Source organism: Homo sapiens, chromosome 4 (genome assembly GCF_000001405.40).
Source record: "Homo sapiens chromosome 4, GRCh38.p14 Primary Assembly".
Lineage (NCBI taxonomy): Eukaryota > Metazoa > Chordata > Mammalia > Primates > Hominidae > Homo > Homo sapiens.
Genome location: NC_000004.12, coordinates 150,406,059 through 150,429,523, shown reverse-complemented (window position 1 = coordinate 150,429,523; position 23,465 = coordinate 150,406,059). Strand labels below are relative to the sequence as shown.

General features: G+C 34.1%; 1 protein-coding gene and 1 pseudogene across 11 annotated transcripts in view; both read left to right on the top strand.

Annotated features, from left to right (window-relative positions):
* LRBA (LPS responsive beige-like anchor protein) overlaps positions 1-23,465 on the top strand; it is a 751,293-nt gene that overhangs the window by 586,204 nt on the left and 141,624 nt on the right. For all 11 annotated transcript variants that reach the window (XM_047416462.1, NM_001367550.1, NM_006726.5 and 8 more), the window contains one exon: positions 13,934-14,086. In XM_047416462.1, the coding sequence (XP_047272418.1) occupies positions 13,934-14,086 (153 nt within the window). The remainder of the gene's footprint in view (positions 1-13,933; positions 14,087-23,465) is intronic.
* Positions 5,798-7,258, top strand: LOC100419161 (nei like DNA glycosylase 2 pseudogene; annotated as a pseudogene).

The following is a 23,465-nucleotide window of genomic DNA, read 5'->3' as shown; positions in this document are numbered from 1 at the left end:
CTATTCTTACAGTCTTCCCCCTATCGTAAATGGTTTCCTATTTGAGTATAAGCTGAAATCTTTGCAACGTAAGACCCTACACTACCTAACTCCTTTCCAAAATCCTATTACATCTTGAGCTCTTCTGTTTGCCACCCCGTTCACTCTGTTCTAGCTAAACAGGGTCTGCTTGGTGTCCTTCAAGTACTTCTGACCTCAGCACCTTTGATTTTCCTTTTCCTTTCACCTGAGGCATTTGTTTTAGTTATCTTTAAGAACTCATTCTTCATGCCTTTCAGGTTTTTGCTCAAATGTCACCTTTTCAGTAAGGCCTTCTCTCTCCTCCCTATTTAAAATTGCCCCCATCACCTCATGCACTTTTACTTACTCCCTGACTTCATATTTCTTTATGTCACTCACCATCTGACATACTTATCTCATGCTTATTGATTTGTTTATTATGTCATATCCCACTTGACCATTAGCTCCATGAGATCCTAAATTTTTGACTGTTTTCCTCATTGGTTTATCCCTACAATCTACAAAGGTGTTTGGAGCATGGTAGGCACTAAATTAAATATGTATTGAATTAATAATGTGATGAAATGAGGAAGAGGGTTCTGAGCAAGGGAAGTGACATGAACAAAGCTCAGAAAAGACGTTTGGCACATTGCTTATTGATCTGTTAATTGGTCTTATGTTTCGGGTGTGTAGAAAACATAGAAACAGAGATTCTGAAAGGCAGTTGAGTCTAATATGAAGGCCTTTGGTAACAGTCTAAAAATGCTTGAGTTAATTATATAAGCCAGTTCAGCAAGTAATAGCCAGATAATAGATATGATTGACTTTGCAATCTGCCTGATCTGTGTCACAGCTATTAAAGATATGCAAACAAATGAGCATTTGGTTGACTGTAAGGGACAGGAGGCATAAAGCTTTTCTAAGAGTTAGTGAAAGAGCCTGGGAAAAATAGCGAGGTAGTTTGAGGAGAAAATGGAGAGTGTATGCTTATTCTAGCCAGAAGGGCACAGCCAAACTCAAATGGATATATGCCTGATATGAAGTGGGACTACTAACATCTCATTTTTTAGGATGAGATTTTATGTCCACAAGAGAACTGGTAGCTGGATGTCAGATGCTGACCACAAGTTGTTAATGATTCAATTTTCTACATTTTATTACTGTGATAGCTTTGCGAACATGGACATACCATCACTGGTCATATCTTGGATTTTTCACTTAAAAACCTATTTTATAATTTAATGTGCATCATTAGTGGTGAGTGTATTAAGTTATGAAGTTAGTAGGGTCAGTAAAGTATATTCTATATTTACAGTTAAGTAAATAGAATGCAATTAAGTCCTAAGAGATACTAAATATTATTTTAAAAATAAATGACTATGCAGTAATATTATATGAACTCATATATAATTTAATATTTAACCCTTAAAAAGTTTTAAATTACATATGCATGTTAAATAATAATATACAGTAGAGGTGATCATAGAATAGTTTTGTGGCTTGTGAGATTTGTAAAACATGAGACCTTTGACTTCCCTTTACTACCTCAGAAATCCCAGAGGTCTGCAATCTGAAGATAAATTAGGTTTCTTCTTTCCCTAGCAGCACATCTTCTACCATGTTAATACATTCCATGGATGCTGATATCATCAACATTAGGCCCGTTTATAAGAAAATGCTTAGCTACAGTTAATAGAACATAATTGATGGCAATGTATTTCTTAATGTATTTATTTTTTAAAAAACTTAAACTTCGATGATTTAGTAATTTTATTTTCTTAGTAAAAAAAATCTGCATCCGGTTCTCAGACACCATTTTAATAATTTAGAGTTTTAAAAAATGCTGAAAGAAAGTAAAATTAAAATCTTATCCTTATTCATGCATTTGCACATTTTCAACTTAAGTGCTCATTCCTTTCTCCTTCCTATCTTCCCTCCTTCCTTCTGTTTTTTGCCAGCCTCTCTTCTTTTTCATCAGTGAGCTCAAGCTTTCTCAAATATGTCTGTTTATCCTTGCTTTTTATACGTAACTTATAGATAACTTGCGATTTGTTAATTTAGCCACATCTCTTTAGCCCTTTTCTTCAAGTATCAGTAGGTTAAATGATGAAACTTTGTGCTAATTAAGTATTGAAGTTTGTACTCGTGTCTACAATGAACTACATTTTGCTCATTGATAAAAATTACTTGAAACCCTGAATATTTTTCTTCTCATGCTATTTACATACTATACAGGAAAATTAAAAACCTATTAAGGCATTTGGAAAATATTCATGTCTTCCAGAATTATAAAAATGCATGCATATGTCAAGTGTGATTTGTTTTTTGACTGGTGATCTTATCATATTTTTTGTTCAACTAGAAAATGTAGACTGTTCATTAATGCGTTCTTAGATACTGAGATAAGTGGTTCTTCTCCCATACTAAATATATGTCTACCACTTATTCCAGAAATTTTATTTGCATCTTCTCTTACGGCAGTTACAGCTCACTTTTTGTTTGCATTATTATTGCCCATTATTTCTTTCCAAATTATAATTTATTTGGAGATAAGGGTCTAGAACAGCAAAAGGCCCAATGGAGATGTCCATTTCAAACATGGAAGTGAAAAATGTGTTGAAAGCAAGAAAGAACCATAAATTATTGGGGATATTTATCATAATATGAAGCATGTTAAACCCTACTGTCATTGCTAATAAAAAAAATAATATATTTGTTTTGAATGTCATAGTTATTTGGCAGGAAGTATTAAGTCTCAAATATTTTTGTGGGCATATATATTTTTGAAAGTAAGTTTTGTTAAGTATTCTTAGAGTTATGTTAAATGCTTTTATAAATGGGCATAATTCAGTGAATGACCTATTGGCTTTAGGATTTAGGCAAGTTGAGTCTGTAATTTGGGATTTTTATCATGAATCCTACTAATGATAATAATATCTTATGTATATATAGAATTCCGCATTATCCCATATGAGCCTCACAGCAAACCCTGTGATTTTGAAATGGCAATTGAGGTGAGTAAGGGTCACAGAAATTAAATTAATTTGAGTACATGTGACAGTAAGTTGAGTAGACAAGACTTAAACCCAATTATTTTTTCTACTATATCAGATTGAAATAGATTATCATTTATCTATTGATTTGTAATCCATGATTTTTCTTTATTGTAATGCATTTGAAATAACAGTTTTATAATATCTAAAAACCACATAATATTTATGGGGTTGGTCTGGAAGGATTATAGATTATTTTTTCTTTTCCAATTTTGAAAATGATTGTTTTTCTTTTACTGTAGGAAAAAACAGCATTTTATCTACCAAATTAGGACAAACTAAATTTAAATATCAACTTGAAAGCTTTCAGATATGCAGTTGATTTAAAATAACTATTATAAATGCAATTCAATGTTCTTGATCTCTAGTGAATTTTTTAAAAGTTTTATTATGGGCTAACAAAATAAATCTTGAAAATTAAAATGTATCAAAACATGCACATTATATTTTTATAATATATTGTTAATCAGCTCTTTTTTGTTAATTAAGAAAGCTTATTTTCAATTTTTTAAATCATTTTTTCAGTGGTGAAAAGCTAAAATTTTGCTTTCACATTTTTTTACCATCAGTGTCCCTAAGCAGTGCACCTTAAATTAGTTAACTTCTAATTTATCATGCTTCTATTTGAGTTGTCAATATTTCATATTTAGGAAAAATGAAATAAATATTTAATTTTAACTAAAAAGGAGCTTCTTCATTTTTATTTCTATTTTGATTATCTTGTTTCTTTTTGGTTGATAGATTAGTAGTTGGTATGTTTGCCCCAATATATTGAAGTGGTGGGTTTAGTTCAGTGCATAGAATTGGTGACTATTAAAAGGAGAATCATACAGCCTGGCTGCAAAGGTTGTTCATATCAGTGGAAATTATACCTTAATAAAGAAAACTAAAGCATATGTGTGGTCACAACCAATCCTTGTCATTATGCCATGAAAGCCTTGGGATTTGTGATCAAAGCAATGAGCTTATCCTGAACTGTGGTGTAACCTCTGGTTGAACCTTTCAAATTTTTATCTTAGGAGATGATACACTAAATGTTGGCCATGTTACCTGCCTCTAAGACCCATCTACCTAATTAAGTGATAGAGATTAAAATTATTTTGAGCAAGCCAGAAGAAAACGTGAATTGTAAATGTATCTGTCTTCTGTCAGTGTTGTTTACTTATCATTTTCCACTGATGTTTTAAAGAATTGCTGAACATGTGTTTTTTATCCAGAGCTGACTGTTCTGTTCTGATGAATATAAAACATACTTCACTTTGTAAATGTGCATTAAAAGTATTAGAAAGGCATAATCTTTGACTCTGTTACTACATTTCATCTGTCAAAAGAGATAATTTTGAACTGTAATATTTGGTATTGTATCAAGATATGGTTCTTAGAAAGATGCTTTTAGTATTAAAATGGAATTCTACTGTATAACTTAAATGCCATTGTCATCCACAGTAAGATTTTGGCTGTATTATGCTTATTTATTTTGTTACATATTGGTATATATCAGTTGAGTTCAGCATGTTTATTTCGTATTAAGAGAGTATTGCACTCTCATCACCGACTTATTCATGCAGATTTTCTTGTGATGAGACTGCAATATAGTTTAAGTACAGCATGTCCTCAAATAACGTCATTTCATTCAATGTTTTGTTATATCGCTGGTGAGAAAAAAAACATCAATTCATGGCCGGGGCCACTTTCTGTGTGGTGTTTGCATGTTCTTCCCATGTCTGTGTGGGCTTTTTCCAGGTACTCTGGTTTCTTCCCACATCCCAAAGATGTGCACATAAGGTGAACTGGTGTGTCTACCTGGTACCCATCTGACTCTGTGTGTGTGTGTGTGTGTGCGTGTGTGCACGCGCGCACGTGCTCCCTGCTATGGGATGGCACCTGGTGTCCTGTCCAAGGCACCATGGTTTCCTCACTTGTGCCCTGAGTTGGCGCAGTAGGTGTTAGGCCACCTGCAACCCTGAAGTGGAATAAATGGGTAAATAATTATCTTATTTTTGTTAATCTTTCTTAGATGTACATATAGCTCACATTTATTTCAATATTTAATAGTAGAAGTGTTTTGGGTCTCTTTTTAGAAGTTTGGTGATGTTTTTGTGGCAACCAAAATATGCCGTGGGAACTTAACTCATTTATATCAATTAGCCTGTGGTAAAATTGGTTTTGTTATATGCCATTTTACATAAAGTTGCAATTTTCAAGACCCTATCGATGACAGTAGGTGAGGATTTGCTGTATATATGCTCGCTCTCTTATTTAATTGTGCTAATTTGATGTTGTTCTTCATACTATATGTAAAATCTTAATAATCTCTCTCCTCACTATTAGTTTCTTAGAAATGCTTGTCATACTTTAAATTCACATGTAAAGTCCTCAATTTCATGGATCCTTCCATTTAGAGGGAGATAGAAACAAACAAGCAGTTATAATACAGATTGATGAGTTCTGTGTTAGCGAAATACAATGTATTACAATCTTTTCCCTAAAGCTTTCTCTGGCCACCCCAACTTTTAGTCATAATTTTCTTATTTGAACTTCTGGAGTGCTAGTTGTTTTCACAACGTATTTTCTCCTAAAAATATATTCTTTCTCTATTACTGATTTAGATCTGTATTCTCGGGCGGTGGGGGGGACTCATTTTATGTATCCCAGACCCTAAAACAGTTCTCTCTAAAGAGTAAGAACTAACCTACAGGGGCGTCCCCTAAGGGGACGGAGCCCACGTGTGCCGTGGCGCTGAGAAATCTCTGCCTGGTGCTGGAGCTGCTGTGCGGGGCGTGCAGTGGTGCTGGGTCGGGCCAAGGGGCTGCCCACCCGGAGCTGGGATGCCAGAAGGGCTGTTGGTGAGGACATTTCACCATTCGGTCTCTCCTTTTGTGGGCAAGCAGGTGGTAAAGACAGGGAGCAACAGTAAGAAGTATAGCCCACCAGCCTCCAGTCTCTGTGGCTCCAGGACACCCAGGTCCATGGAAAGAAATTATTCCTTAGATTTGATCCAGATGAAGAAATGGGGCCCGCTGGCAACAGCTCACCGCCAGAGCCTCCACAAAAAGAAGCGCAGAAGGAAGGGACTGTGGACTCAAAGCAGGCCCGGGAGCAAGTGGGCAGAAGACCCTTGACGCCTCCTCACAGTCCGCAGAGCTCGTCCCCCAGGGAGAGGATGATTAGGAATGTTTGAAGGGAGACACCCCTACAGGAGATGCTGGGAGGCGGCTGCGTGTCAGCTCTTGTTTGCTTGGCAGCGTTTGGGTGAACGACTTCTCCAGAGCCAAGAAAGCCAACAAGAAGGGGGACCGGAGGGACCCTGCCCCGAGGTTGGTCCTGTACTTTGGTGGTGGTAGCTTCCTGGCACTTTATAATTGTCAGATGCCTTGGAGCTCTTCCCCAGAGGTCACACCCACCTGTGACATCCTGTCTGAGAAGTTCCATTGAGGACAAGCCTTGGAAGCTCTAGGCCAGGCTCAGCCTGTCACTTATACACCATTGGACCAGAAATACTTCTCAGGGCTAGGGAACGTCATTAAGAATGAAGTCTTGTACAGAGCTGGCATCCATCCCCTTTCTCTTGGTTCAGTCCTGAGTGCCTCCATGTTAGGAGGCCCTGGTGGATCACGTGGTGGAGTTCAGTACAGCCTGGCTGCAGGGCAAGTTCCAGGGCAAACCGCAGCACATGCAGGTCTACCAGAAAGAACAGTGCCCAGCTGGCCACCAGGTCATGAAGAAGCCCTTTGGGCCCTCAGGTGGGTTCCAGAGGCTCACCTGGTGGTGCCCACAGTGCCAGTCTCAGTTGTTAGAGGAGCCGGAGCAGTGCCAGTTCTTCTAAGGAACTCAGGGTGCTCTTCATGGAACCTTGTCCCTTGGGGAACCTGATGTCTAAGTGTCCAGAGAGGAGGATGTGGTCAGGGACGGGGTGCAGAGGATAGTGTGGGTCAGGAGTGCCAGTATTATAATGTTCATCTCCCTGGAGTTATGTTGAAGGCAGAGTTTTCATAGGGTTAGATTTTTTGTTGTTGTTGTTCTTCCTTTTCTAGTTGTTAATTCTTCCTATTGAATTGCACCATTGTGAAAGATGAGAAAAGTCACAATGATGGGTAAGGGGAAAACCTTCTGGAAGTCAATGGGGCAAGGAAAAAGAAAGCCTATGGGAAACAGTTGTGCTCCCAACATGGCTTTGCAGATGATGGGGGGTTTTTTGGGTTTTTGTTTTGAGACAAGGTCTAACTCTGTTTCCTAGGCTAGGGTGCCAGTGGCATGAACTCGGCTCACTGCAGCCTTGCCCTCCCAGGCTCAAGCAGTCCTCACCTCACCCTCCAGAGTAGCTGGGACTACAGACATATGCCATGATGCCCGACTGATTTTTGTTTACTTTTTTTGTAGAGATGGGGTCTTGCCATGTTGGCCAAGCTGGTCTTGAACTCCTGCACTCAATCAGTCCTCCCACCTTGGCCTCCCAAAATGTTGGGACCACAGGTGTGAGCCAGTGCACCCAGCCAGCTCCTGTGTTTTGTTTTTGTTCTGGAACTTTGGTTGATTTTAAGGCCCTCCATTTTGAAAGCAGGAAAAGTCATTTTTTTTCCCCCTTATTTCCCTGGAGGATCCAGGGATGAGAATAGAGTGGCCTGAAAGCAGTGCTTGGATTCAGCCTCCTGCCAGGTCCTTCCTGCTGGACACAGACACCAAGACGCTGGGGTGGAGCAGAGAGCTGCACCTTCCTGGGGTGCTCAGTGGTCTGTAGAGAAAAGCTGCTTGTTTACTCCTTAAGTCAATGTATTTGTGACTATTGCTGTTGATATGTTGAACAATTCAGGAATCAAGGGCTATGGAGAAACTCCTTCAAGTTGTTGGCAACAGGTAGATGAAGCTAGGACAGTGACGTGAAACTGAAGCTCTCTGTTAAACAAACAAAAAAAGAATAAGAACTAAATAAATGTGGTTTCTTTTTTGTGATAATGATGTGCTACATCACCCTTCATTTCTACCTAAGGTTTAAATCAAATAATTAAGAGGTGTTCTTATGAGTTTTATTATTTTAATAAGAAATAACATTTACATTCTATTTGTATTTCTGTCCATACTGAATTCTTCCTGCATTTTGTGTATGTGTATATATGTATATATAAATATATACATAAAATGACATATATTTATATGTTATACTTTATATATATAATATATGTATAAGTATATATTTATATTATATATATAAAATATGTATGATATATGTATATATTTATATTATATATGTGTATAATATATACTTTATATATTATATATGTTTTATATATTATCTATGTATTATATATACTTTATATATAATATAATGTATATTATATATACTTTATATATATTATAATGTATATTATATATACTTTATATATATTATAATGTATATTATATATACTTTATATATATTATAATGTATATTATATATACTTTATATATATTATAATGTATATTATATATACTTTATATATATTATAATGTATATTATATATACTTTATATATATTATAATGTATATTATATATACTTTATATATATTATAATGTGTATTATATATACTTTATATATATTATAATGTGTATTATATATACTTTATATATATTATAATGTGTATTATATATACTTTATATATATTATAATGTGTATTATATATACTTTATATATATTATAATGTGTATTATATATACTTTATATATATTATAATGTGTATTATATATACTTTATATATATTATAATGTGTATTATATATACTTTATATATATTATAATGTGTATTATATATACTTTATATATATTATAATGTGTATTATATATACTTTATATATATTATAATGTGTATTATATATACTTTATATATATTATAATGTGTATTATATATACTTTATATATATTATAATGTGTATTATATATACTTTATATATATTATAATGTGTATTATATATACTTTATATATATTATAATGTGTATTATATATACTTTATATATATTATAATGTGTATTATATATACTTTATATATTATATATGTATTATATATACTTTATATATACTATAATGTGTATTATATATACTTTATATATACTATAATGTGTATTATATATACTTTATACTATAATGTGTATTATATATACTTTATACTATAATGTGCATTATATATACTTTATACTATAATGTGTATTATATATATACTTTATATATATACCATATATGTATAATATATATGTATTTTTTTTGAGACAGGGTCTCACTCTGTCACCCAGGCTGGAGTGCAGTAGTGTGAACACAGCTCACTGCAGCCTCCTGGGCTCACAGTCTTCCCACATCAATCTCTCGAATAGCTGGGACTACAGGCACAGGTGCATGCCACCATACCTGGCTAAATTTTTTAATTTTTTTGTAGAGACGGGTCTTGCCATGTTGCTCAGGCTGGTCTTGAACTCCTGGAAACAAGCCATCCTTCTGCCTCGGCCTCCCAAAGTGCTGGGATTACAGGCCTTAGCCACGGTGCCTGGGCTAGACATATATTATCATGGCTGGGCTTGGTGGCTCATTCCTGTAATCCCAGCACTTTGGGAGGCCGAGGCAGGCAGATCACCTGAGGTCAGGAGTTTGAGACTAGCCTGGCCAACATGCTGAAACCCCGTCTCTACTAAAAATACAAAAATTAACCTGGTATGGTTACAGGCGCCTATAATCTCAGCTACTAAGGAAGCTGAGGCATGAGAATCGCTTGAACTCAGGAGGCAGAGGTTGCAGTGAGCCAAGATCGCGCCACTGCACTCCAGCCTGGGTGACATAGTAAGACTTCATCTCAAAAAAAAAAAAAAAAAAAAAAGATATTATCAGTGAATATATTGCTAACTTTTTACCATTATTGACATAGGTATAAAATTATAACCACCAACTCAAGTGTACAAGAAATATCCTAATTTGAACTTAGCCCTTCTTCATATTAGGCTGTTGAAAAATTCCTTCATAGTTATTAGATTGGTAGGGCAGGGACCTTCTTTTCTCAAGGCTTGAATGAGAGTCCAGGCTTGTGTGATACCTAGAAAACTAGCCTTCACATCTTTAGTCCATCGTTTTCTTCATTAGTCATATCTTTATTGTCTAAGATACATATGGTCTTTCGAAGGCAGGCAGCTCTGATGATTATACCAAGTTACTGTTAGAAAATATTTGCTGATGCCAAAAACCATGGTGCCAAGGGACTAGCTTCCCTATGTGCACCATGCATGGGGCCACTATGTACAGTAGGCAGATTGTTCTTCATGAAAGGGCACTTGATTGAGAGAAAGAACGGAAGCTAAAATCCAGCCTGTACTTACTCCATTTACCAAACTGAATTCTCTTAGGACTGCATTAGCCTAGCAGTGTTACCTTTCTTCTATTTCACATAGAGGCACTGTATGGGCATATAGTGACCCGCTCACCATTCCCCATCCTCTGGGTTCCTGCCTAACCTCTTAATCCCTTCTCCTTTCCCCCAGGCTGGGGAAAAAAAAAATGCTGACTGTAGATTTTGAGAACTTGCTTCCCTACTCTTGGAAAAAATTTATGCCTGTTTGGCTTCTCTCTCTTTAAAAATACTAACATTTGACTCCTCCTTCACCTAGATACCTCATATACTCTCTGTTTGCTTAGAGATTCACACAAGACAGAAAAGAAAGATGCCTTCAAGAGGCCTCTGCTCTGGACCCTGCAAATGTTCTTGAGAAAGGAAATGCCTGTCTGCTCTCTTAAAATTAAAGGTGAAGGGAGTGAGAGGTGAAAAAATAGAGTAAAACACAAATACATATCTTGATAAATTTCAAGTGAAATGTTGAAAGCTAATTTTTAATTTTTACTGTTTAAATTTTTAATTTTGAAATATGTTTACAATGCCCATTGTACAAAATTTACATAAAATGTTTCCTTAGGAAATCACAAAATCCATAGTAATTAAATGGAAACTGATGGTTATTACCTTCTTCCCAGCATGATAGATATTATGTAGCTGAAAGACTTAAAAGTTTGAAATTGCTTTCTTCATATCACTTATTTAAAAATTCTTGTTTGTTTTATGGGTGGTTTTGCTCCATTTAATTTCTAGTTTAACTAATTGAATTTATATTTAGGTTAAGGTGTCAATATTAAAGTAACATAATAATTCATAATAAATGTGTATTTAAAAATAAATTGGGCCAGGAATAAAATATATTTTGGGGAGGATTGCTTGAAGCCAAGAGTTTGAGACTAGCCTGGGCAACATAGCCAGACCCTGTCACTGCAAAAAATTAAAAAATTAGCCAGGCATGGTAGTGTATTCCTATAGTCCTAGCCACTTGGGAGGCTAAGGTGGAAAGATCGATTAAAGTTTGAGGTTACGGTGAACTATGATTGTGCCACTACTGTACTCCAACCTGGGTGACAGAGTGGGACCCTGTCTCTTAACCAAAAAAAAAAAAAACAAAAAACCAAAAAAACTTGTGGAGAATATTTGTTTTGAGCAAATAAATTTTTTGTCAATTTGTTGAGTAACCTGAATGAAATAACAGATGTAGAAGATACAGACAAATATACAAAATCATAATATTTTGACACTATATATTAGAAGGATTGAAAACTTCATTTTTGTAACAATTGCTATGAAATGTCATTTGTTCCATTCTGCTTCCTCAAATTGGTGTTGGTAAGAGTACTTTTTAGGTATATTTTTACTATGCATTTAGGTATATTTTATTATGCATCTCTAATTTACAATGGAAATGATGCATCTCTCAAATTTTAAAACTCAGGGGAAAACTAGCACTTAAAATTCATCCATTATAATTATTGCTTTGAATCTAGGAGAATTATAAAACAAGAGCATGGTAGGTATAACCAGCAAAAGAAGGACACTATCTTCTAATCATGATAGAGTGTGAATTGGGGGTGGAAGTGGGCAGCGGGTATTACTGAAATGAGAATAATTAGTATTTAATTAAGCAAATGCTGCTTTTGATTGTCAATGAACAAGGAAAGCATGTTCCTCCCTCTTTATTGTGAAACAAGGCCTGGGAATAGTAACATTCATCTTCAGTAGCACAAGTATTATGAAGTGAAAATAACATATTTTGGTAAAATTTGTCAAAGCTGGAAATTAATTGAATACACACTTGGGCAAATTAATACTAGAAAATTATATAGTGATTTATTGGGATAAATCACATTACAAAAATTCTTTTTCAATTATTTATATAACAATTGCTGTATAGAGAGAGATAAATATATATATATGAAAGATATATGTATTCAGGATAGCCAGTTGTTTTCTCATCATGAAAATGCTAAAAGTTTAGAGTTTCTTTTCCTTTTTTAAAAATCACTTTGTATATAAGTTAAAAACTTATACTTAAAATGTTTAGCACTGCATATACTGTGTAGGTAGAACCCAGGCTTATTTGATGACTGAGGACACAGGCTTTACAGTTAAACAAGTCCTGGTCCAACTTCCATATTTTGTCCAACTGGTAACGTTGGACAAAGCACTTTTTTGAGCCTTAGTTCATTTTTTAAGTAGAAATGATTGATACTTTACCTTGTAAAGTGGTTGTGAGATTAAATGTAATAAGGTTTATTAAGAGTTTATTTATTTATGGTATGAGAGTATGACTCATACCATGCAATAAGTGTTAGCTCAGACAAATTGGATATGGCTTTTTGCTTCATAAAATAACACACACCTGTGTTTTCCTCTTTTGTCAATTAGAATTATATACATTGTTTTTGAAGATGAGAATCTTAAAATTTTTGTGTGATTATAATCTAATTTTATTTATAGCTAAGCTTTAAATAAGGTCTTTTTTTTTTTTTAATTGTTCAGTTAAAATGCTTTTTAAGTCTAATGGTCAGGTGGTTGTCAGCCATTTGGAAGAACAAGCTCGTTTCTACCCTGCTTAGTTAATTAATGTGATTGTAAACAAAGGATGTACAATTCAAAGTCAGGCAACATTTCACATGGATCATGGAGGTGATAATAGCTTAATTCCTGCTGGATTTTTTTTCTCTGCTCTGGCAAGTTCATACTGACCTTGTCCAAAATCTGATGACCTCCCTATTTTACTCAACTGTTTGGAAAGCCGGGCCTGCCATTGCTGGCCCTGAGGGGATATCTGAAAGACCACTGAACCACTGACCCATGTCAAGACTGGATTTCAAGTCTGATCTACAGAGCCTCTGAAATAGTTATATATGGGGTTTATTACACACAAAAGGCTAAGCAGCTGCATTTTTCTGCTTATTAAATGTCATTATTAAAGTTACATATTGAATTTACTCAGTTTCTCATGCAAGTCATTTTCTAGACTAATTTTAAATTTTGATCTTCTATCAGAGTTGGTATCTTTAAACTTGACCGTTTTGAAATGTGAGGAAAAGGTACTGAGAAACCATGGCTAAACTGTAATAAATTATCTTCCTGGTTGATGAAGAGACCAAGACATTGGCATTTTAATGCTTAGAAAGATTTTGGGTTTTTCTGGCAAAAATTCAATATACCTCATAAAAAATCTAGTTAGGTTGTCATTATTGTTATAGCATGGTAATTTATGTTTATATCTTGTCAAACCTCAGTTATTACTAAAATATTTGTATTTAAGAGTTTTGAGGTTATGAGACATGTCATGAAGGAAAGCCTATGAAAGTTATTTATACCAGTAAGATCTTATTTAAGTTGGGTTAGATAGGATCTGTCTATCTTATGAGAAACTGTGACAGGGCTATGATATGCAAAGAAAAAAAAATTCCCTGTGTTTATTTTGTTCTTCTGAACAATAGAAAATGATCAGGTCCTTTTTTTGAATATCTAGTCAGTATCCTACAGTTTATAATATCACATTGTCTTTTATTTTTATATAGGAGTTGATCCCTGAATTTTATTATCTCCCTGAGATGTTTGTCAACTTCAATAATTATAATCTTGGAGTGATGGATGATGGGACAGTAGTGTCTGATGTCGAACTTCCTCCTTGGGCCAAAACCTCAGAAGAATTTGTTCACATAAACAGATTGGTAAGATAATAATCATCTACTCTGTCTGTCATGAGCTTTTGCTCAAAGCATCTTTCATGTGTTGGTGTATAATCATTAACCCTTGCTCTTCTGGACAAAGCTGTAGGTGATAGGACTAACTGAAAGTGACATAATAGCTCAAGAATCCTTGTATATACTTTATGAAATGTTATTGAATTGATATATAAAGTAATAGTTTCTTTTATGCAGAAGTTAAGTTACATTCATATATACATGATGATTCAAAATTTTAAGCGAAAGTTAGAAGTGAAATTGGGATTGTAAGTTTTTCCAAATATGAGCTTCTCTTTCCAGGAAAGGAACATAATTTTGTGTTCCAGGTTAGAAGGCCATTGCACATTTTCATAATAGAAACAAGATTTTCAAATTATGTCCTGTATCTATCATTTGAAGGAAATCTTCGTGTAATATTGAGAATATGAAAATGTTAAAACTTAAAAGCACATTGAATTTGTGCTTACAAACAACTCTTTAGTATCCTCTTTAGTGGATTCTTTAGTGTCCTTCATTATCTGGGTTCAGTATTATTTTCGAGACACTAATATGACTTTTCCTTTTTGCCTTTTAAGTTTCACAGAAGTTTGGAATCAGGGAGCTTTATTCTTAGTATTTAAAAGTAGAATCTTGGCCGGGTGCGGTGGCTCGCACCTGTAATCCCAGCACTTTGGGAGGCCAAGGTGGGTGGATTACCTGAGGTCAGGAGTTCGAGACCAGCCTGCCCAACATGGTGAAACCCCACTGCTATTAAAAATACAAAAATTAGCCGGATGTGGTGGCAGGCGCCTGTAATCCCAGCTACTTGGGAGGCTGAGGCAGGAGAATCGCTTGAACCTGGGAGGCAGAGGTTGCAGTGAGCTGATATCATGCCATTGTACTCCAGCCTGGGTGACACAGTGAAACTCTGTCTCGAAAAAATAAAAAATAAAATAAATTTAAAAAATAAAAGTAGAATGTTTACCACACTCTACATTAAAAGTGAAATCTCAGTTGCATTGTTTTTACTTCACATGTAAAAAAGGAAAATTATTGCATTTTTTTAATGTGGCATTCCTTTCTTTTCATACCAACAATTAATCCTATCTTCCAGATCCTATTACAGTCTCATTATTATTGAAATTTTGCATTCTATATATACTGGAAACAATGCAGGGGAGTGGAAAGAATATGTAAGCTTTGGAATCTGACCAGATTTTCCAATCCTTTATCAATCACATTGCTGATTGTGGGACCTTAGCAGTTTAACCTTTCTGAGCTTTGGTTTTTTCATTTGTAATTTTGAAATTATGAGTAAACAATTGTAATTATGTATGTAAATGCCTAGAATATTATCTGGCTTATAGTAGGCACTCAGAAAATAGTAAATAATATTATTCTATCACAGTCTTATGGAACATGTTGCATTTTACTTTTACCCCAAGAATTTTTAAAGATTCTCACAAAGTTTCTGTGATTGAGAGATGAAGACTAAACTTGCTCTGAAAGATACTGAAGGAAATGTCAAACCTTTAAATGCGGCAGGTGTCTATGGTCGTGTGTGGTTTTTTTTCCCCAGGGATACACAAAAGTGAATAGAAGTTACATTCATACTACAACTTTTTTCTTTCAGTGATTTTTCTTTTAAAACAAATTCATTGAGGTACAATCTATATATAATAAAATTCAACTTCTTAAAGTATGCAATTCAAGGAGTTTAGTAAGTGTATACAGTTATGTAACTGCCACTACATTCCAGCTTTAGAACACTCACGAGTACAAAAAGTTTCCTTGGGCCTCTTTATAGTCAGCCTCTGCTTCCACTGCCGGCTCCAGGCAATCACTGATTCTGTCTCTGTTTTGCTTTTCTAGAAATTTTATATTAATGGAATCATACAATATGTAGTCTTTTTATGCCTGTCTTCTTTCAGTTAGCATGATGTTTTTTGAGATTCATCCATGTTGTGCATATATCAGTAGTTAATTTCTTTGTATTGCTGTATAGTATTCCATTTTATAGATATATCACATTTTAAAATCTCTTTACTAGTTAATGGACTTTTTTTTCTAGTTTGGGCTATTATAAATATTTGCGTATAAGTCTTGGTGTGGACATCTGTTTTTATTTCTCTTGGGTAGATTTCTGGGAATTCCTGGGTCATATAATAAAAATGTTTACCATTTTGTATTCCTACAATGTATGAAGTTTCAGTTTTTCCCTATCCTTAACAAGACTTGGTATTGTCAGTCTTATTTATTTTAGCCATTCTAGTAGGTAGGTCATTGTTATTTTAATTTGCATTATCCTAATGATGAAAATGTTAACCATCTTTTCACCGACTTATTTGCTACTCATATATATATATATTTTCTTTGGTGAAGTATCCATTCAAATATTTTGCCTGTTTTTAAATTGGGTTGTCTTTTTATTAGTGAATTGTAAGAGATCTTTGTGTATTCTCCATAAAAGTCATTTATCCAACATATATTTTGAAAATATTTTTTAACTAGCCTTTTTTTATTTTTTAATGGTGTCTTTTGAATCACGATTTAAAAAATGTTTTAACTAAATATTAGATATTAAATATTTATACAATATATAAAAGATACAAAATATCCTCATTATTGGTGAATATACTTTTAAGAAAAAATCATGTTCTGATCATTTTTTTATTGACACACTTTTTCTCAAATATGACTTGAAATTTTAAGTCTCAAGGGAATCGGTTTTCTGTTAATCATTACCATAGTTAGTATTATTAATAATATAAAGAAGTTTGTTAGTATGTTTACTTCACTTTAAAGGAGCTCTAAAAGGCAGAAACATTTGAATAAGTTATATATTAAGTTTTTCACCAACATTTTGACAATTAAAAAATTTAATTACATAAGTTAAGGCAAGCCGCTCTCTTGACAGTACCTCCCATCTCTACCCTCACTGCCTTCACCTCAGAAGAGCCAGGTCTATTTGGGACAGGTTTACAAGGGCACTAAGGAAAAGAAGATTGTGGTTTACGTAATTGCTTTACAAGTAGATTTGGATTTTGGCTACCCACGCTCTAAACTTGGGCATGATTGTAAAGTTATATACCAAATAATATTTTGCAGTATTAACTGTGCATTTGTTATAACATTATTATTGAGTTTACTTAATATTTTTCCCAGTGATTCCTACTGCTTGAGTTTTATAGATGTCTTCATTGTTTAGACTCTGAATTAGCTTACATTCCTAAACAGAACTGTATATAAAATCACTGCAATTCAAATGCAAACATAGTTTAGAGTTGAGTATATATCTGGTCATTTTAATTCATAATTAGGAAAGATACTTGATTTTACATATATGTGCCTTTATGAAAGAATTTAATACCTCATTCATTCATTCAAAATATTTATTTTACACCTCTGATGAACAAAGTTTCCTTACAATATAGTCTATATTGATTCATTTTGTAATTTCTTTTTAACTTTCTACAAGTGACTAAATTGTTAGTATTGTATCTTATGTATTGGTTAGCATATTGTCACATAAGAGTTTCATCCCCCTCCTCTTTTTGGTTTACCACTTCAATTCCACAGATTTTATGCAATGATTGCAGCTCATGAAATGCATACTACTTTGATCTGTGACCTTTTTGTGGTGCTAATCGGGTTCCTGATATCATTATACCTTACTCATTAATCATATTTCCTGCAGCCCGTCAGGCAGCCAGACAGCACAATCCCTGTTTTCAGCCCTCTGTTGGCAGGTTTCTGCTTTTCCAGATTATTACAGACGATACTTCGGCTTCTCATAGCCAGAGCCACATCAAGCTGTGTGTTACAATTAAAGTCAGATGGTCCTCAGGTTGAACAGGGATATAGTGTTGCAGCTGTCCCTCTTCCTGGAACAAACCAGCACCAAGAACAGATGATCTATAGGACAGTGAATAATAACAGATTATACAATACTCGGTTGGTAGCAGGGGATCAGAGAATTAATTAACTGACATACTCATTTTAAGATACCCAGCATGTCTTTTTTAAGTATTTGGTTGTTAATTCAAGAGGATAGGGTATTTTTAGGAGCATGATTTTGGTAGTGAACCAGTAATGCTACATTCCCTGTTTGTGTTAGAGGACTGTAACTACTGTCTCACCCAACGACTCTTATCCTCAGTTTTCTGTAAGTAATGAAGATCTAAATGTAGGATTGGAAAACTGGCTAAGTGGATGGGCTTATGAACAGAAGATAATATCCTACATATTTTAGAAGGAAAACTCACCTAAATTTCATTAGTTTTTCAGAGAAGTAAATTATATTTTGTTCTGAACAGTTGGAATCAGGGTAAAACCAAAGCAGTCTTAATTATATCCCTGAGATTGGTCCCTGTTATCTACTATTACCTGAACTAGGAAAAAAATTTATTTCAGATACAGCATCAGAAATATAAATGAGAAAAAGGCTTTCATACTTTCAAATAATAGAAAAATTTATGAGTTCGGAATGCCCATCATCTGTCTCTTATGATATAATGTCAATGTTTGGACCTACATATTATACTGCCTCTTATAACCTTCAAGTTTCATGTTGAATAAGAGACAAAGAAAACCATACTCTGGGGAGAATCACTAAAAGTTGACCTTTAAAAATAGAGCATTTTGTTTTAGCCAAAAGATACATAATATACATAATTGATTCAAATTATAATAGTTCATTCATTTAACATGTATTTATTGGGTGCTTGCTTATGGACCAGCACTATTAGATTCGATGAATAAGAGACAATATCCCTATTTGGAGATTACCTTCTCTTTGATACCTTGTTGAAACAGAAAGCTTCTCAAGGCCTGGAGGTGGCATTAATATAGCAAAGGAAGCGTTCTCTTGTTGAATTGTCCTAAGGTTACCAGTTAAAATCACATTTACTTTTGTGTATGTTCTATAGCTTTTGTCTCCTCTACTATTTCATAATGGTGACACAAATAGTACTCACTTAACAAGGTAAAGAAAAATAAAATGAATATACTATCTGCTTTCCATTATCATCAGAGAATATGTGGACAAGTTAAAAGAGATGCTGTCCTTTCATAGTATTGCCTGACAGGAAAAAACAAGGTTGATAAAGAAATAAAATCTAAACTTGTTTCTATCATTGCTAAAATTTAAATCTATTCAACATAAACCTTTATAGATCTTACACCTCTGAATGAATTAGGTCAATCTTGTATAATTTTTTTCTCTGAATGGAAAATTTACACTTCTCAAGTGATGACAGCATAGAGACAGACTGTCATGCCCCCCACTGAACAAGAGTGGGGAAATGACATTCTTAAGACCACTGACCAGACAACATTTAAAAAAAAAAATTTTTGGAATTGAAATGCCAGAAGCTTTTTTCAAATTGTTTTTTTTGTTGTTATTGTTTCCTTTTCATTTCCCATATTGATAATGATGTGGCCAAGAATGTAAACAGCCGTGGTGGCTGCAGTTGGAAATAATTATTGTTAGCTGAGGGTATCTCCCTCTCATGTCTTCATCCTCTTTACTCCCAGTGCAGTGGTTGGATTTAAATTCCCTGGGAATGTAGGGAGATAGGTATGAAGAGTCTAAAATTACTATTGTTTGGTTTGCTTTTAGCCGTGATATGTAATTTACTGTGAAATTTTTAGTTAAAAAACGAGGACACCTAAATAAGAGGAAAAAAGATTTGCCATATTGATAGATTGTTAATTCTCCCCACATTTATTTATAAAGTCAATGTAAAAATATAAAAACCATTCAGTAGGTTTACTTTGTTTTGTTGGAAGATGATAAACTGATTTTAAAGAGCAAAGGACCATTATGGCCAAAATCCTTTTGGGGAACAAGAGCAGATTTCAGAGGGACTTGCTTTACTAGATATCAAAAATTATTATAAAGCTATAGTAATTAGGGAAGGAGAAGTAGTACAGGAAAAGTGAACAGAGAACCCAGAAATAGGCCAGGATATGTAAAGAAACCTCATCCATTATAGAGCTAGTATTGCAGAACTGTGGGGAAAGGAAGGACTTTTCAATTTAGGATTCTGAGATAAATAGTTATTTTATTAGTTTCCTAGGGCTTCTGTAACAAAGTATGATTATCTGGGTAGAAACAACAGAAATTTATTGTCTCACAGGTTTGGAGTCCAGAGGTCTGAAATCAAAGTTTAGCAGGGTTGATTTCTCCTAAATGCTGTACGGGAAGGACCTGTTCTAGCCCTCTGATTGGCTTATATGTGGCTGTCTTCTCCTTGTGTCTCTTCACATCATCCTCCCTCTATGCATGTCTGTCTGTCCAAATTTTTCCTTTTAATAAGGACACCATTCATATTAGATTAAGGACTCACCCTACTCCAGTATGGCCTATCCTAAATAAAGACTTCTGTAATGACCCAATTTTCATATAAGGCCACCTTCTGAGGTGCTGTTAGGTTGAGACTTTAACATAAAAATTTGGGGGGAGTGGCCACAATTCAACCTATAGCAGATATATGGGGAAAAAAATTTTAATTGGAACCTTATTTTATGCCACAAACAAAATGAAAGTATATTAAAGCTTTATATATAAAGGTAAAACTATAAACTTTAACAAGATAATACAGGAGAATTTCTATGTGATATTGGAATAGGGAAAGATTTTCAAGCAAGAAACAAAAAAGTGAAATATGATATATTATATAAATTGATTTTTGGTTGTTAAACCAGCCTTGCATTCACAAATATATTACACTTATATGTTTTAAGTTCTTTTGATATGTCCTGGATTTTTGTTTTGTTAGTATTTTCTTGAGGAATTACTACTTTTGAGGATTTTTGAATCTATATTTATGAGGAATATTAGTTTGCAGTTTTTTTGTGATATCCTCATCTGACTTTATTATCAGGGTAATACTAGTCTCATAGAATGAGACATGGCAGTGTTCCTTCTTCCTCTATATTTTTGAAGGACTTTGTGAATGCTACATATTATTTCTTCTTTAAATGTTTGGTGGAATTCACCACTGACGCTATTTAGGCATGGCCTTTTCTTTGTGAGAAGATTTTAAATTACCAAATCAGTTTTTTTAGTTTTTATAGGTCTATCAAGATTTTTTTTAAATTTTTTCTTGAATCTATGTCAGTAATTTATTTCTTTCTTGGAATTTGTCCATTTAACTAATTTATTTTTATAAAGTTGTTCATAGTATGACTTATTATCATTTTAATTTCTCTAAGGTTAGTAATGATATTACCTCATTTATACTGATTTTTGGTAATTGGTGTTATCTTTTTTTCTGGCTCAGTCTTGCTAAAAGGGTTTGTCAATTTTGTTGTCTTTTCAAAGAGCCAACTTTTTGTTTCACTGGTTTCCTCTATGGTGTCTCTGTGTTCTCTTTCGTTGAGTTTTCGCTCTAATATTCATTCTTTCTTTCCTTTTGCTTGCTTTGGGTTTAGTTTACTCTAACTAGATTATTAAATTGGAAACCTAGTTTTTTTATTTGAGTTCTTCTCTTCCAATATCAGGTTTTCCAATTACAATTTTCTCGTTATGTGTGGTTTTTGCTGTATCTCATAAATTTTGATATTTTGTTTCCTTGTTTTCATTCAGCTTATGCAATTCTCTTAATATTCTTGTGGTTTCTTTCTTGGCTTATGGATTGTTTAGAAGTGCATTGCTTGGTTTCCAAATATTTTCCAAAATCCCCTTCTGTATTTTCCAAATGTGTATTTTCCAAATTTTCTCCTGTATTTTCTATTTTTAATTTCATTGTGATTGGAGAGCATACTGTGTATGATTTCAGTTGCTTAAAATGTATTGAGACTTGTTTTCAACCTAGCATTGGGTCTATATAGGAGAATTCTTCATGTTATCTTTAGAAGAATGGATATTCTGCTATTGTTGAGTGTTCTGTGGATGTGAGTTGATTGACTTAGTTTTTTGTGTTTAACTATTCTGTATCTTTGCTGACTTTCTGTCTAGTTGTTTTTTTTGTTTTTGTTTTTGTTTGTTTTTGTTTTGCTAGTGGGATATTGAAGTCTCCAAATGCTGTTTTCAATTCTATCAGTTTTTGCTTCATGTATATTTGGGCTCTGTTATTAAATGTATATGTTAGTTTCCTATAGCTGCTATAGCAAATTACTGCAAACACTTGGTGGCTTAAACAGCAGAAATTTATTCTTTCACAGTTCTAGAGTCCAGAAATCTGAAATCAGTATCACACTTCGTCCAGAGGATGTCTGCCTGTGTCTTCACATTGCCTTCTTTTCTGTCTATAGCCAAATCTGTCCCTGTCTCCATTTTCTAAAGATACATGTGATTGCATTTAGGGTCCTCCCTCATAATCAGGATAATCTTCCCATCTCAAAATCCTCAACTGAGGCCAAGCACCATGGCTCATGCCTGTAATCCCAGCACTTTGGGAGGCTAAGGCAGGGCGGATCACCTGAGGTCAGGAGGTCAAGACCAGCCTGGCGAACATGGCAAAACCCCATCTCTACTAAAAATACAAAAAATTAGCCAGGCATGGAGGTGTGTGCCTGTAGTTCCAGCTACTCGGGAGGCTGAGGCAGGAGGATCGCTTGAACCTGGGAGGTGGAGGTTGCAGTGAGCTGCAATTATGCCACTGCACTCCAGCCTGGGCTACAGAGTGAGATTCCGTCTCCAAAAAAAAAATTCCTCAATTTAATGACATTGCAAAGAACCTTTTCCCATGTAATGTAGCATTTTACAGATTCCAGGGAGTAGGACCTGATATCTTCCTGGGGGTGAGGGGTACATTTTTCAGCCTATCACAGTGCATATATGTTTATAATTGTTATGTCTTCCTGATAAATTAACCAACTTTTTAGTCATAAATTGTCTCTGTTTGTTTTTAGTAATTTTTGAGTCTGTTTTGCCTGATACTGTTAAAGCCACGTCAGTTCTCTTATGGTAACTGTTTGCATGGTATACCTTTTTCCATTATTTTATTTTCAATCCATTTTTTTGGATTTTGGACACTTTCAAAATGTCTTTTGTAGATAGCATATAGTTGGATCATGTTACTTATCTAGACTGACAATCTCTGCCATTTGAAGTGTTTATTCACATTTAATGTTATTATTGATAGCATAATAATAGCACAATCCAGATAGCATCCAATAGCATAATCCAGAAATAGATCAGCACATGTAAAGAAATCTCATCTAGTAGAGAGTTCTATAATAGTTGGATTCATGTCTACCATTTTATTAATTATTTTCTTTAGTCTTGGGTCTTTTTGTTTTTCTGTTCCTCCTTTATCATCTTTGTTGTATTAAATAATATTTCTGGTCTACTATTTTCATTAAATTTTTTTTACTATGTATTTGTTTTAGTTCTTTTCTTAGTCGTATTTATAGAGACTACAATATACATTTTATT